At 47.6% G+C, this 16547-nt stretch overlaps 1 protein-coding gene across 1 annotated transcript in view, besides 2 other annotated features; it reads right to left on the bottom strand.

Moving 5' to 3' along the window:
- Positions 1 to 532: 532 nt before the first annotated feature.
- IRAK2 (interleukin 1 receptor associated kinase 2) overlaps positions 533 to 16547 on the bottom strand; it is a 78827-nt gene continuing 62812 nt past the window's right edge. The window contains exons 11-13 of the mRNA NM_001570.4: positions 9619 to 9819; positions 5239 to 5530; positions 533 to 2162 (exon numbers count right to left, since the gene is read on the bottom strand). Of these exons, the coding sequence (NP_001561.3) occupies positions 2050 to 2162; positions 5239 to 5530; positions 9619 to 9819 (606 nt within the window). The 3' untranslated portion in view covers positions 533 to 2049. The remainder of the gene's footprint in view (positions 2163 to 5238; positions 5531 to 9618; positions 9820 to 16547) is intronic.
- Positions 1653 to 1722: a silencer, noted in NCBI's record as "silent region_14057". NCBI's record gives its function as "represses an Ori minimal core promoter by ATAC-STARR-seq in GM12878 lymphoblastoid cells {active_cell/tissue: GM12878}" and the evidence as "EXISTENCE:reporter gene assay evidence [ECO:0000049][PMID:35858748]".
- Positions 9568 to 10170: an enhancer, noted in NCBI's record as "H3K4me1 hESC enhancer chr3:10275792-10276394 (GRCh37/hg19 assembly coordinates)". NCBI's record gives its function as "activates a minimal SCP1, AML or CMV promoter by ChIP-STARR-seq in naive H9 embryonic stem cells {active_cell/tissue: H9 hESC(naive)}" and the evidence as "EXISTENCE:reporter gene assay evidence [ECO:0000049][PMID:30033119]".

The following is a 16547-nucleotide window of genomic DNA, read 5'->3' as shown; positions in this document are numbered from 1 at the left end:
ATATGAAATCCTAGTCTAGAAATGTAAGTATGTCTGGATAACCACAAACCTATTGGTGTCAGCCCTCTATTGCGCAAACAGCCCTGGAAACACTCTGCTTATAATTGTAAAGTGTTCGCAACAGGCCAGGTCCCATTTGGGGCACAAAATGCACATTCACCTTGAATCCTCACAGACACCAGAGCTGAAGACAGGGCTGTCTGTATAGATCACTGTCCACCTGGACTGGGACCCAGCTCAGCTACATCACACATCAAGCCAAAGCTGTCCTTACTGGGGAGCTGCCAAATGTTTCACCAGGCAGGACCCATCCAACAACAACCCTACAAGATGCGTACGTTTTCTTTTTCCCATTGTACAGATGAGGAAACAGAGCCTCAGAGTAACTCCCTAACTGGGCCCAAGATCATGCAGCTATTAACAGTCAACAGTAAGAGCCAGGATCCTAGCTCTTTGCTACCCCATCTCAAGGATACAGAGTGCCTTCTCTAAACAAATTCTTCCAGACACAAAACTAATTACAAGTTGTCTGTCGACTTTACAAATATATTTTTATTATATAAAAAGAAATTACTATAGATTACTTTAAATAGGATATTTCTCCCAGTGAATTTAAAATAGCATCTGTTTCACAGAAAGATTTGCAACATGACTTTTCAGATATATACGCACTGAATAATCATTAGGTACATGGCAGAAATACACATTTAATACCTTTTTATTTTACAAAACAGGACAAGTGCATTTTCCAAGTGCTTCTATAGCCACTGTCTCATCTGTTCCTCCCAACAGCCCAGGGATGAAGAACAAGCAGGTGTTATTTTACTTACAAAGAAACTGAGGTCCCAAAAATTAAATGATTGACTTAATTAGCAGCAGAATCAGACATGAAATGCATTCTCCTGATTCTTCATAATCCAGTCATAAATAACAACACATATTCTCGGCCGGGTGCGGTGGCTCAAGCCTGTAATCCCAACACTTTGATAGGCCAAGGCGGGCAGATCACGAGGTCAGTAGTTCGAGACCAGCCTGGCCAATATGGTGAAACCCTGTCTCTACTAAAAACACAAAAATTAGCCAGGCATAGTGGCAGGTGCCTACAGTCCCATCTACTCAGGAGGCTGAGGCAGGAGAATCACTTGAACCTGAGAGGCAGAGCTTGCAGTGAGCTGAGATCGTGCCACTGCACTCCAGCCTGGGTGACAAAGTGAGACTCTGTCTCAAAAAACAAACAAACAGACAAACACATATTCTCAGAATAAAAGCTCCATTAAAAAACACTAACATTAGTGGGATGGGAAGATAAAGGTACCAGGCAGTGACTGAATAATTATGTGAATTGCAAGATTTCCAATACAGGCAGTGGAAAGCCTGCAGAGCTCTTCGCTAGGTGTCTGGCATTTGTAGAACCTGAGGCCCAGAGAGGTGAGTCAAGAACTGCACTGAGACACAAGTTGAAAGTCTTCCAGGCCAGGCACAGTGGCTCCCAACTGTAATTCCAGCACTTTGGGAGTCTGAGGTGGGAGGATTGCGCCAACAAAGCGAGACCCCATCTCTACAAAAAAATTAAAAACTAAAAAAAATCTTTCAGAGCATGCAAGCTTGCAGGCTGTCAGCAAATACAACCCAGAGATCTTAGCTCTGGAAAATGCTATGGCATTGCAGAACTGCCAGTGGCGGGGGAACAAGAGCTGCTGAGGTAATGGAATCTGCTGGGGGTGATTATCATCACATACTCCCCGGAACCACAAAATCAGCCACATCCTGGGCCCGTGTGCAGGGTTTCTGCTTCAGTCTCCTCTGATCCCCTGCTCTGACTAACAAAGCCCAGAAAGGAAGAGACTTCATGGATTTTTGTGTCTCTAAAAGCTGAGGGCCTTTCTCTCCCAACTCATTCCAGTGAAATGAAGTTTCCCTCCCACCCAGGACAGCAGATGTTTTGTTGTGTGTTTCCTGGCAGATCTTGGATTCTGCCTCAGACCTTTTTCTTGATCTGATGCTCATCTTTCCAACTGAGGACAAGGGTCCTCAGCTGTGTTCCGGTCATCAGGGGCCAAAGAGCTCAATGCTGTCCACTTTTTCCTCTTTGTAGAGCAGAATATTCTCCATCAGTTTCCTTTTGGCCTCATTGATCTCAATTTGCCACGAAGTTTCTGTAACTGATGTTCAACAGAAAGCAAACAAGAGCGACTTGAATGAAAGTTACTATTATTATAATTCTTAAAGTCACTTAAATCAGGTTTCTGAATCAGGCCCTGAGTGTAATGAGCATTTCTTTTTTTTTTTTTCTTTTTTTTTTATCGAGACAGGGTCTCACTTTGTTGCCCAGGCTGGAGTGCAGTGGCACAATTTCAGCTCAAGGCAACCTTGACCTCACAGGTTCAGGTGATCCTCCCACCTCAGTCTCCGGAGTAGCAGGGACTACAGGCGTGCACAACCACACCTGGCTTTTTTTTTTTTTTTTTTTTTTTTTGAGATGGAGTCTCACTCTGTTGCTCAGGCTGGACGACACACACAGTTAATTTTTTTGTGTTTTAGTAGAGAAGGGGTTTCACCGTGTTGCCCAGACTAGGCTTGAACTCCTGAGCTCAGGCAACCCACCCGCCTCGGCCTCCCGAAGTCCTAGGATTACAGACAGGCGTGAGCCACCACGCCCGGCCTGTGAGCCACAGCACCCAGCCCATTTATTTATTTATTTATTTATTTATCATTTGTTGAGATGGAGTCTCACTCTGTTGCCCAGGCTGGAGTGCAGTGGCTCAATCTCGGCTCACTGCAACCTCTGCCTCCTGGGTTCAAGCAATTCTCCTGACTTAGCCTCCTGAGTAGCTGGGATTATAGGCGCCCACCACCACGCCCAACTAATTTTTTGTATTTTTAGTAGAGACGGGGTTTCACCATCTTAGCCAGGATGGTCTCGATCTCCTGACCTCGTGATCCGCCCGCCTCAGCCTCCCAAAGTGTTAGGATTACAGGCGTGAGTCACCATGCCTGGCTGGCCACACCTGGCTAATTTTTGCATCTTTCGTAGAGACAGGTTTTCACCATGTTGCCCAGGCTGATCTTTATACTCCTGGGCTCAAGCAATCAGCCCACCTCGTCCTCCCGAAGTACTAGGATTACAGGTATGAGCCACTGCACCCAGCTGTAATGAGCATTTTCATCTCCTCTGTCTTTGCAGGAAGCCCTGCAACCTACCCTGGCCTTCCAGAAAGGAGAGGGTTTCCCTGTTCCTATTTATGATGTTGAGGGGTGGGAGGGTGGAGTGAAAAAAATGCTCACATCCTGTCTTTCTTCTTCCTCTCCCCTCCCCATGGCAGGAGGAGTAAAAGAGAAACAGGAGTGGTCAGAGCCTGGGACATTCATTGAACCATGTTTACTAAGGGACAGGGACACTGCATTGAAAGGGCCTTCCTGGTCGGGTGCGGTGGCTCATACCTATAATCCTAGCACTTTGGGAGGCCGAGGTGGGCGGATCACCTGAGGTTGGGAGTTCAAGACCAGCCTGACCAACATGGAGAAACCCTGTCTCTACTAAAAATACAAAATTAGCCAGGCATGGTGGCACATGCCTGTAATCCCAGCTACTCGGGAGGCTGAGACAGGAGAATCACTTGAACCCGGGAGGCGGAGGCTGCCATAAGCCAAGATCACACCATTATACTCCAGCCTGGGCAACAAGAGTGAAACACTGTCTCAAAACAAAAAAAAAAAAAGGCGGGGGGGGGGGGGGGGGGCTTCCTAATTTTTTATTTCAGAAAGAAACTTGGTATCCTTGGACCTGAGTGGCAGGAATGGAAGGTACCTTTTTTTTTTCCCTGAGACAGTTTTCCTCTGTCACCCAGGCTGGAGTGCAGTGGTGCAATCTCGGCTCACTGCAGCCTCCACCTCCCGGGTTCAAGCAATTCTCCTGCCTTAGCCTCCCAAGTAGCTGGGACTACAGGTGCCTGCCACCACACCCAGCTAATTTTTGTATTTTTAGTAGAGAGATGGGGTTTCACCATATTGGCCAGACTGGTCTCGGACTCCTGAACTCGTGATCTGCCCGCCTCAGCCTCCCAAAGTGCTGGGATTACAGGCGTGAGCCACTGCGCCCAGCCAGAAAGTATCTTCTTTTTTTTTTTTTTGAGACGGAGTCTCACTCTGTCACTCAGGGCTGGAGTGAAATGGCACGACCTCGGCTCACTGCAACCTCCGCCTCTTGGGTTCAAGTGATTCTCATGCCTCAGCCTCCCAAGTAGCTGGGACTACAGGCACACGCCACCATGCCTAGCTAATTTTTGTATTTTTAGTAGAGACAGGGTTTCACCATCTTGGCCAAGCTGGTCTTGAACTCCTGACCTCAGGTGATCTGCCCACCCCAGCCTCTGGAAGTGCTGGGATTACAGGCATGAGCCACCGCACCCAGCCTGGAAGATATCTTTAGAAGTGACTGGTGAGGATGGTGTTTGTGTTGAGAGGAGAGGCAGACAGGAACAGACCACATGGGGCCTTGAGGACTTTGAACGAGGGATGACATGCATTGAGTTTTTTGTTTTTTGTTTTTTTGAGACGGACTCTTGTTCTGTCGCCCAGGCTGCAGTGCAGTGGCACAATCTTGGCTCACTGCAACCTCTGCCTCCCGGGTTCAAGCAATTCTCTTGCCTCAGCCTCCCAAGTAGCTGGGATTACAGGCACGCGCCACCATGCCCAGCTAATTTTTTTGTATTTTTAGTAGAGACAGGGTTTCGCCATGTTGGCCAGGCTGGTCTCGATCTCAGGTGATCTGGCCAGGGTGACCTCAGGTGATCCACCCGCCTCGGCCTCCCAAAGTGCTGGGATTACAGGTGTGAGCCACCTCGCCTGGCCGGCACTGTGTTTTTAAAAGCTACTCTGGCTGGCTCCTGGAGAAGGACCTAGTGAGGGAGGGGCCAGGATGGAGGAGGACTCAGGGAAGCTATGCAGTCCCCTGAGGACAGGAGCTCAGACAAAGGGGGAACGCAGAGAAGTAGATGGAGGTGAGAGAGATTTTGGAGGCCAATGGACAGGACTGGGTGATTAACCGGACACAGTCCAGGGCAGGGAGAGGGAGGTGTCAAGGATGCCTCCCAGGTTTCTCTGTGAAAAACTGGCTGGTTGGTGAATGGCTGAATAACCAAATGAAGGAGTGAATGAAGGCAACAGAAAGAAAAAATGATGGGCTGAAGTTGGGGACACACACATGAGCATCCAAATGCACTCTGACTTCCGGCTTACCATCCTGGGGAGGCTCCAGGCCAACACAGGCCTCAGAGGAGGAGTCAGCCTCCCTTCCCACGATGACCCGCAGCCTTCCTTCCCCATTCTCTGTGGGGAGAAGTGGGGTGGCAGCCCCTGCCCAGGGTGCCACACTCATGGAGGAGGAGGCATCAAGGCTGGAATTGTCAACGTCGTCTGTTTCCTCTGGGGTGTTGGAAGAAGAGCCTGTACCCTCAGAAAGCCCACTCCAAGGGAGCAACGTCTCCCGACCTCGGAGCCGCTCTTCCACAGCAGCCACAGAGCCACACACCTTTGGGAGAAGAGAGAGAAGGGAGCTCATCAGGAATTCTCTCTGAAATAGAAATGCTAACATCTGGCCTCCCAGCAGAGAGGGGGCGGGGAGCAGACTGAAGAACCTAATGCTGGTTGTTTTGTCTGAAAAAACCACACCCTTCCTTTGAAAAGACCTGTGCTTGCCCACCAACCGCCCTGTCATAGATGAGACGGCGTGACCCAACATGGGCAGATCATAGTACCCCACTCCTCTGACCATAGGGATTAGTCTAGATTTGGGCATGTGATCGAAGCTGGCCAATCAGAATCCTTCCCTGAAACTTTTCCACCTAGAGCTTATTGGGGAAAGACCTCCAGCCTTTCCTCTCTAGTGGTAGAACCAGACGCCCCACTACACCCAGAAAACCCATTTACAGTAGGGGAAAATGAAAGCTCAACACAGAGTAAAGCAGAGGCAAGCAACGAAGAGAGAGCCACAGACAGAGAGACACAATGGCTGTACCTTTGGTGTTTGAGATCCTGGGTCTAACTTCCCTGAAACCAGAGCAATGCCTGTCCTCTCTGTTGTTTGGTTAAATGAGACACTAAGTTCATTCATTCGCTAATTCACTCATTCATATTCTTCCCCCTCCCTATGTCTGTGTGTGTGTGCGTGCACGTGTGTGTGTGTAAGAGTTTAAGTTCCTAACACTTTCAATCAAAAAAGCACAAATAATATAGATGTTGCCCTGGAAGGTTTTTGTGGTTAGGGAGGTTAGGAAAATTAGACGGAAGCAAGGAAGGAATGTTTCTTCTTCACACACACACACACACACACACACACACACACACACAGAGCACACATACATACCCTTATACCCGTAATAACAATAACAAATCTCATCTCCTCAGTGCCTTGCAAAAAATTCAGTATACTAATGTATCCATTTCTTTCTTTCTTTTTTTTTTTTTTTTTTTTGAGACAGAGTCTCGCTCTTTCGCCCAGGCCGGACTGCAGGGGCGTATCTCGGTTCACTGCAAGCTCTGCCTCCCGGGTTCACGCCATTCTCCTGCCTCAGCCTTCTGAGTAGCTGGGACAACAGGTGCCCGCCACCGCGCCTGGCTAATTTTTTGTATTTTTAGTAGAGACAGGGTTTCACCATGTTAGCCAAGATGGTCTCGATCTCCTGACCTCGTGATCCGCCCGCCTCGGCCTCCCAAAGTGCTGAGATTACAGGCGTGAGCCACCGCACCCGGCCACTAATGTATCCATTTCATACACAATGCATGAATTTTTATAAATAAAAAATTAAAAGATCAGAAAAGTTAAGTTCCCTGCCTAAAGCCACCCAGCCAGTACAGTAAATGGCAAAGGTGACCATCAAACCCAGGCCTGCTTATTATCTTCCAGTCCCTGACCCAGCTGTTCTTTCATCTTCCCAGCTTGGTTGTGATGTACTAAGAGCTAAGGCCATCTCCTACCTCTTCTTACACCTAAAGTGCCCTATCCCCTTTATTTTACGTGGCAAACGTCTCATCCTTCAAGGCCCAGGTCACATGTTACTTCTTGAGATAAATCTTCACAGTAGATGCCCAATAAATATTTGCCAATCTAAAGACCGCATTTCCTTGGAGCTAGGCGTGGCCATGTAGCTAAGTTCTGCTCTCTATTATGTGAGAAAAAGTGATGCATTTCCAGGTTATATCTTTAAAAGAAAGGGAGTGTGTCCACCTTTTCCTTTTAACCCTCTTTCACTGGCTGGATTGCAGGTGTGATGGCCTGAGCAACAGCAGCCATCTTAGACCCTGACATGGAAGCCACATGGTAAGGATAGCAAACAAACAACATAGAAGGAGCCTGGGTCCCCAATACTGTGGCACTGCCACATTAACACTGGACTGCGTAAATTCAAACTGTTACACTAAAGAGAATAAACATCTATCTTATTTAAACCACTGCATTTTGCAGTCTCCTTGTTATAGCAGTTTCACCTGCACCTTAAGTGACACACTGAACAAAATAATGGAATGAATAAAAGAATGAAAGTCTTACTGAAAGAATAATTGGTTGAAGGAGACAGAACTTTTTAGAATATAAAACTGATTATGTCCTACCTCTGCTTAAAAACCTTAGTGAGGCTGGGCACAGTGGCTCAGGCCCATAATCCCAGCACTTTGAGAGGCCAAGGCAGGTGGATCACCTGAGGTCAGGAGTTCGAGACCAGCTTGGCCAACATAGTGAAACCCCATCTCTACTAAAAATACAAAAATTAGCTGGGTGTGGTGGCACACACCTGCAATCTCAGCTACTCGGGAGGCTGAGGCAGGAGAATTGCTTGAACCTGGAAAGTGGAGGTTGCAGTGAGCCGAGATTGCACCACTACACTGTAGCCTGGGTGAAAGAGTGAGATTCTGTTAAAAAAAAAAAAAAAAAAAAAAAAACCTTAGTGGCTCTGCAAAAATCCTTACTGTGCCTACAAAGCCTTCTATCATTGGACAACTCCTTCCTCGACACACCCAACACAAGCCACTGTGCCCCATGTGTTGTGTTCTAGCCCTTCGGACCTTCTTCCAGGCCCTTGAACGTGCTGAGCTCTCTCTCAGCTCAGGCCATTTGCAGGGTGTTCCTTCTGCCTGGATTGCTCTTCGTGTGCTTAAACCCCCCTTCCTCAGGAAGGTCAACAGGGTGGGGTCCTCATCATACACTGTCCTGGCGCTCACCACAAAGACAATTACTATGCAATGTCCATGAGTTCCAGGAGCGTGGACCTGGGTCTGCCTTGTTCCCGAACAGATGTGTCCCCTGGCCCCAGTGTACAACTGCGGAATGAATGACTGAACATCGGGGCACATGGACACTTGGGGGACACCTGTGCTAGCAAAGGCTGAGAACAAAGACTGAAGCCTCCAGCTCCTGCCACGTGACAGCGCAAGACGATGGACATAAGGCTGAACTGGGAGTCCAGAGAGCTCTGACAAAAACAAGTTCTGTGGCCTCATCTTCTCGTCTGTGGCCCTTCACTTGCCCTTCTGTAAAATGGGAGGCTTGGGCTACAGCAGTGGTTATTGAAGATTTTTTCCAGCTACCAAACCCTTTCCAGAGAACCCAATACAGTAACTGAGAGAAGTCAAAAGTGGGTGTCTGGTCCGAGTCACAGGTGGGGGCCTGCACCTCCCCCAACCCCTCTTGCTGCCAACAGCAATTCCTGAGTATTCTCAAGGAGCCCCTCTGTGCCCAACACCACTTGAAAATCACTCTGCTAGATGATTTCTAAGGGTCCTCCCAGGCAGTGGAGAGTTTGTCCTTAGAAAGACCAAGCAAGGCCGGACAGAGCGGCTGATGCCTGTAATTCAAGATACTCGGGAGGCTGAGGCAAGAGAATTACTTGAACCCGGGAGGCGAAGGTTGGAGATAGCACCACTGCACTCCAGCCTGGGCGACAGAAGGAGACTCTGTCTCAAAAAGAAAAAAAAAAAAGATCAAGCAGTAGTCTCTTGATTACCTTTTACCATGGAAGCCACGGCTACTTCTCATGTCCAAAAAAATCTCTTACCCCGTGTAGTGGCTGCTTTCTAGGACGTCCGCCTAGTGCATGGGCTGAGCACACTCCCTTTCTTTGGGACCTGGCGCCGACACCATCCAGGGATGGAGCCCTGGGCAGCCCGGTTTGCATGCTGGACCGCCCCACCATGCCTGATTGGCCAAGCGGTAAACAACTGACCCAAGTTCAGCCAATCAGGTTCTCCCTCTGTGGTGGGACTCAGGGTGGAGGCTCATCTCTCTGTTATAAACTGCGGGCAGAGCCGTTCCCTCCAGAGAACACAGAGGAAAGGGGAAGGGGCCTATAGAGAAGGGGGAATAAAGCCGATTCACAGAGAGTTCATCGAGTTCAGTTAACATCCACGGGTTTGGTCCTGCGCCCTGAGGCCCTGCAATACCCGTCCTCGGGCTCCGCACTATCCATCCCTACACCGCCCTTTGGCTGATGGGAGCTCTAGGAGGTTCTGCGGCTTGCAAGCAAGCACAACCCTGGTTTGTGCACCAGGCCTCTGCGAAGGGGCCGTCCCCGATGAGGTGGACCCACGCGTGGCCCAGGCAGCGAGGCCGCTGCGGGCGAGGCTCACCTCCTGCAGGCTGGTGTTACGCCTCCGCAGGCACAGGCAGGCAGCCGTGGCCAGGGCCTCGGCGCAGTCCTCCGGAAGCCTCCCTGCGCCCTTCTCCAGGTACTTCTGGCAGATCTCCTTTGCCATCACGTTCTCCACGCCCGTCTTCCTGGAGCAGAGCGAGGCGGTGCTGCTTGGAATATCACTGAGGAGTAAGTCCTTCTGTGGGAAGAAGGGTAGAAACGCCCTTGCGTGAGCTGCAGAGCTGCGAGAGCCAACGCACGCGCCCCACTCACCTCCAGAGCTGCAAAAAATGCTCAGAAAACCGACCGGACATCGTAAGAATAAATGCAAGGATTCCAGAAAGAAGTAAAACCCCCAAGAAATGGAGAAGGATTCGATTTCCTACATGCACAGGGCACTCCATAGTGAACTCATGCCACAAACGTGGGGCCTTAATTTTTCTAGGCCTCGGTTGGTTCATCAGGAAAATGGGAACAACAAAAATACCTACACCAGGGCCGGGCGCAGTGGCTCAAGCCTGTAATCTTAGCACTTTGGGAGGCAGAAGCGAGTGGATCACTTGAGGTCAGGAGTTCGAGCCAGCCTGGCCAACAGGGCGAAACCCCGTCTCTACTAGAAATATAAAAATTAGCTGGGCTTGGTAGTGCACGCCTGTAATCACAGCTACTAGGGCGGCTGAGGCAGAGGAATTGCTTGAACCTATGGTGGGGGAGGTGGGGGGCGGAGGCTGCAATGAGCTGAGATCACGCCACTGCACTCCAGCCTAGGTGACAGCGAGATTCTGTCTCAAAAAAATAATAAAATACCTACACCTAGGACTAACACAACCATTCAATGAAACAGTGCACCTAAAGCACAGAGAGTGACATCTGACACGGAACATTCAATAGTCTTTTAGTGATAATAACTAATAGTAATAATAGCTACCATTTATATGGCACTTACTACATGATAAGCACTTAATAATTTAATCTTATTAACTACATGGACAATCTCTTATGATACAAACATTTCAAATGTAGGATTCTGACCTATATACATAACAGGAGAGCCACTATAAAGAAAATATTATGTCTATACTTCTTATACATTTTGTATTTACATATATTTTATATTTTGTACCACATAAAATGCAGCAATCTGAACTATGCATACAATAGAACATATGCTATATAATAATTTTATACAAATATGTAAGCATATTTAATATAAATTATATTGTATATTTCATGAGTAATATGGTATATATGATTAGCATATATGAATGTTACAAACATACTAAATATTGTAAAAACATGTATTGTAGGCCAGGTGCGGTGCCTCATGCCTGTAATCCCAGCACTTTGCGAGGCCGAGACTGGCAGATCACTCGAGGTCAGGAGTTCGAGACCAGCCTGGCTGACACGGTGAAACCTCGTCGCTACTAAAAAATACAAAAAATTAGCCGGGCATGGCGGTGCGTGCCTATAGTCCCAGGTACTCGGGAGGCTGAGGTAGGAGAATTGCTTGAACTGGGGAGGGAGAGGCTTCAGTGAGCCAAGATTGCGCCACTGCATTCCAGCCTGGGCGACAGAGTGAGACTCCGTCTCAAAATATAAATAAGAAATAAAAATAAAAATAGGCCGGGCACAGTGATATAATCACAGCTCACTACAGTCTCAACCTCCTCGATTCAATCGATCCTCCCACCTCAGCCTCCCAAGTAGCTGGGACTATAGGCACATGCTACTGTACTTGGCTAATTTTTAAATTTTTTGTAGAGATGGAGTCTCATTATGTTGCCCAGGCTGGTCTTGAACTCCTGGGCTCAACTAATCCTCCTGTCTTGGCATCTCAAAGTGCTCAGATTATAGGTGTGAGCCACTGCACCCAGCCTAAATGTTTATTTTTTTTTTAAAGTGTACTAGTGTTTAAAGCTGATAATCAAGAACAGTAGAAGTGTATTATTTTCTTCTTTTCTAGAGGCAGGGTCTCACAATTTGCCCCAAATGGAAACCTGCCATCATTGCTATGTATCTTGATGCAAAGACTATGACGATAATCAAAAAAACTACAGAAGACACCTAGTGTTTAAACAGGGGTTGGGGGACTGAGAACACGCGATGAAAGGATGTCGAGGGAACTTCACCATGGAGGAGTCGGCAGCTCCACCTGAAACCACTGATCAATCTTAGCACTAAAACCTTAACACACTGATCGGTCTTAGCACTAAAAGTAGGACAACAGGCTACGCCCCGTGTAGTGAAGCAATGGGAGGCTCACAGCGCCTCCAGGAAGTGTTCTTGACAAAGGCAATGACCATGACTCTAAACAAGTCACAAGTGCTAACTGCCAAATATAGGAAATATGAGGAATAGAGAAACAAGGGAAGGAGACCACAGGATGTAATGAGCAAAACCCAGAATGTGAGACAGTCTGTCTACATAGGGCAAATGACCTAGTCTATGCAAAAATCCAACGACATCCAAAATGAAAAAGGGCATTGCGGGAGAGGTTGTGAGAGAATAAGAGTCTTTTTGTTGTTGTTGTTGAGACGGAGTCTCGCTCTGTCGCCCAGGCTGTAGTGCAGTGGCACGATCTCGGCTCACTGCAAGCTCCGCCTCCTGGGTTCATGCCATTCTCCTGCCTCAGCCTCCCGAGTAGCTGGGACTACAGGCACCCGCCACCATGCCCGGCTAATTTTTTTGTATTTTTAGTAGAGACGGGGTTTCACCATGTTAGCCAGGATGGTCTCGATCTCCTGACCTTGTGATCCGCCTGCCTCAGCCTCCCAAAGTGCTGGGATTACAGGCTTGAGCCACCGTGCCCGGCCAAGAATAAGAGTCTTAAGAAACATAACCATGCCCGGGCGTGGTGGTTCACACCTGTAATGTCAGCACTTTGGGAGGTTGAGGCAGGCGAATGCTTAAGCCCAGGAGCTCGAAACTCGCCTGGGCAACAAAGTGACATCCCATCTCCACATAAAATTTTTTTTTAAAAATGAAAAAAACAAACATAACCAAAGTAATATATGGACATTTTTGGGGTCTAGTTTCAAACAAACCACCCTTAAAAAGCAACTTTTGGCTGGGCACGGTGGCTCACACCTGTAATCCCAACACTTTGGGAGGCCAAGGCAGGAGGATCACTTGGGCTCAGGAGTTCGAGACCAGCCTGGGCAACATGGCAAAACCCCATCTCTATTAAAAATACAAAAATTATCTGGGCCATGGTGGCACACACCTGTGATCCCAGCTACATGGGAAGCTGAGGCAGGAGAATTGCTTGAACCTGGGAGACAGAGGTTGTGGTAAGCCAAAAGCACACCACTGTACTCCAGCCTGGGCCACAGAGGGAGACTCCATTTCAAAAAAAAATTAAAATTAAACATAAGTGGTTAAAATTTGGGGACAAAAGTTTACCTTTCATTTCTACTCTCCAAAGGTAACTCCTGCTAATAGTTTGGATTATATTATTTTCTGCTATACAGCTATAATTATTTTGGTTTTATATTTACTTATATAATAATTATAACAGTATCCTAAAAGCTGTTAAAATAATAGCAATATCAGCCTGGGCAACGTAACAAGACCCCATCTCTACAAATAACAAATTAAAAATTAGCTGGGCGTGAGGGCACATGCCTGTGGTCCCAGGTACTTGGGAGGCCGCCGAGGCAGGTGGATCACTTGAGGTCAGGAGTTCAAGACCAGCCTGGCCAACATGGTGAAACCCTGTCTCTATTAAAAATACAAAAATTAGCTGGGCATGTTGGTCCATGCCTGTAATCCCAGCTACTTGGGAGACTGAGGCAGGAGAATCAATTGAAGCCAGGAGGCAGAGGCTGCAGTGAGCGGAGATTGCACCACTGTACTCCAGCCTGGGCGACAGAGCAAGACTCTGTCTCAAAATAAAAATAAATAAATAAAATAAAAATAAAAATTAGCTAGGAGTGGCGGCACGTGCCTGTGGTCCCAATTACTTGGGAGGCTAAAGCAGGGGATCACTTGAGGCCAGGGGTACAAGGTTACAGTGAGCCATGATTGCACCACTACATACTAGCCAGGGTGGCAGAGACCTTATCTCAAATAATAATGATAATACTAATAGTTAACATATATTGTTTATTATGTTCTAGTTACTATTTTAGGCATCTCACATATTATTTAACCTTCAATAAACCTGTCAGATGCCAGGCACAGTGGCTCATGCCTATAATCCCAGCTACCCGGGAGGCTAAGGTGGGAGGATCCCTTGAGCCCAGGAGTTCGAGGTGACAGTGAGCTATGATCATGCCACTGCACTCCTCCAGCCTTCGTGACAAAGAAGATAGGAGATAGGAGACCCTATCTCCAAAAATGATAACAAACAAACATACCTTGTCGGTGGGGGGGGGTACTACTATTATCCTCAATTTATAGAGAAGAAAATATGTGATACAATGTTTTCATTCATTCATCCATCTATTTTTAGCAAAAATGTGATCATACTATATACTATTCTGAATTTGCTTTGTTCACTTGGAGATATGTCCCTGTCAGAACATACATGTCTTTTTCAATTTACTTTTTTATTTTTTTGAGACAGAGTCTCACTCTGTTGCCCAGGCTGGAGTGCTGTGGCACAATCTCGACTCACTGTACTCTGCCTCCCAGGTTCAAGCGATTCTCCTGCTTCAGCCTCCTGAGTAGCTGGGATTACAGGCACTCGCCACCACACAGGGCTAATTTTGTGTTTTTAGTAGAGACGGGGTTTCACCATGTTGCCCAGGCTGGTCTTGAACTCCTGAACTCAAGTGATCCACCCACCTCAGCCTCCCAAAGTGCCGCGATTACAGCCGTGAGCCACTGTGCCCGGCCTCTTTTTCATTTTTTTAAAATAAGAATGTTTGTGTTGGCTTTATTCAGAATTGCCAAAACCTGGAAATAACCCAAATGTCCAGCAACTGGTAAATGGATAAACAGTCATCTATCCATACAATGGAATACTCTTCAGCAATGAAAAGGAATGAATTACTGACACGTCAACAACATGGATGAATCTAAGCACCATGCTACATGAAGGGGGACAGAAACAAATGGGTGCATCTGCCATGGGCCCATTGATATGACCCTCTAAAGAAGATAGAGCTATGTGGACAGAAATTAGATGAGTAATTGCCAGGACCTGTAAGTGGAGGGAATTTTCTGGGGTGACAAAAATATTCCGTATCTTGATTGTGGTGGTGGTTACATGACTGTATACATTTGTCAAAACTCATACAGGCTGGGCGCCATGGCTCACACCTGTAATCCTCACAATTTGGGAGGCCAAGATGGGAAGATCGCTTGAGCCCAGGCATTCGAGGCTGCAGTGAGCTACAATCATGCCACTGCACTCTGGCCTGGGTGACAGGGCAAGACCCCTCCCTATCTCTAAATCAAATTAAATTAAATTTGGCCAGGCGCAGTGGCTCACTCCTGTAATCCCAACACTTTGGGAGGTCAAGGTGGGCAGATCACCTGAGTGATGTCAGGAGTTCAAGACCAGCCTGGCCAACATGGCAAAACCCTGTCACTACTAAAAAAAATACAAAAATTAGCCGGGTGTGGTGATGCGCACCTGTAGTCCCAGCTACTCAGGAGGCTGAGGCAGGAGAATCTCTTGAACCCGGGGGGTGGAGGTTGCAGTGAGCCAAGATCACGCCCACTGCACTCCAGCCTGGGCAACAGAGCGAGACTCTGTCTCGAAAAAAAAAAAAATGCCACTACAAATATCCTTGTTCATCTGCCTCTCCTCACATGTGTGCATGTTTCTCTAGGCACAAATGGAACTGCCGTGTCAGAGGGTACTCATATTTTCAATTTAGGTGGAAACCACCAAATGCCCTCAGGAAACACTGTGGCAACTAACACTTTCCCAAGCCTGGAGGAGGCCTGCTTCCTCCTACCCTGGGCCACAGGAAATCAGCAAGCTTTCCTCCCTGACTCAAATCTTGATTAACCATTGGATTGCACCTACCACAACAGAACATGATAAGAGACCATACAAGAGTCTAGAATAAGAGAAAGAAACTACATTTTAAAAAATTGTTATTTTCCACATTTTTAGAAATCATTAGCAAAAAAATAATTCTAGACAACTTCCTGTCAGTGCCTCAAAAGCCTCCTTCCACTGTGACACTTGTCCGGGGAGCCCCAGAGGACTGCTGGGAAATCCATCTCAAGAAAATAGTCAGGAGATGAGAAACTGCCCCCAAACAGCCCCAAACCACATCTGAGCTGCCCAGACAGACCTCTCTGCAGCATATGGGATTGACTGCCCAAAAGGGGTGGAACTCACAGAGTTCATCAAAGGAACATGTCGTGACTTTCTGCATGGAGTAGCGAGGCCTTCAGCCTCCCTACCCCAGAGCCCAGGGGATGCTTCTGGGGCCCAGTCACCAGAAATAAATAAATAAATAAAATAATAATCTGTCTGTTCCAATGGCCTCAATACCCAGTAGGAAAAGGTGCCCCCTCTCAAACTGATGAGGAAGACTAGAGTTTGGATGAGATTTGAAACTCTGCAAAAGCCTTGGGTTCAATTTAAACCCCACTTCCACCACTGGTCTCACTGAGGGGCGTGAGACAAGTCACTTCAGCTTGCCCTCAGTTTTCTCAGCTGTAAATGGGAATGATAATACTGAATTCGTATGGTTGGACTGTCACAAGAAACAAGCAGGAGACTGCTGTGGTTAAGAACTCAAGATCCTGTAATCCCAGCACTTTGGGAGGCCGAGGCGGGCGGATCACGAGGTCAGGAGATTGAGACCATCCTGGCTAACACAGTGAAACCCCATCTCTACTAAAAATACAAAAAAATTAGCCAGGTGTGGTGGTGGGCGCCTGTAGTCCCAGCTGCTCGGGAGGCTGAGGCAGAAGAATGGCATGAACCCGGGAGGTGGAGCTTGTAGTGAGCCGAGATTG

Source organism: Homo sapiens, chromosome 3 (genome assembly GCF_000001405.40).
Source record: "Homo sapiens chromosome 3, GRCh38.p14 Primary Assembly".
NCBI lineage: Eukaryota > Metazoa > Chordata > Mammalia > Primates > Hominidae > Homo > Homo sapiens.
Note: the sequence above shows the minus strand (reverse complement) of the source record. Positions and strands in the feature narration are given on the sequence as shown.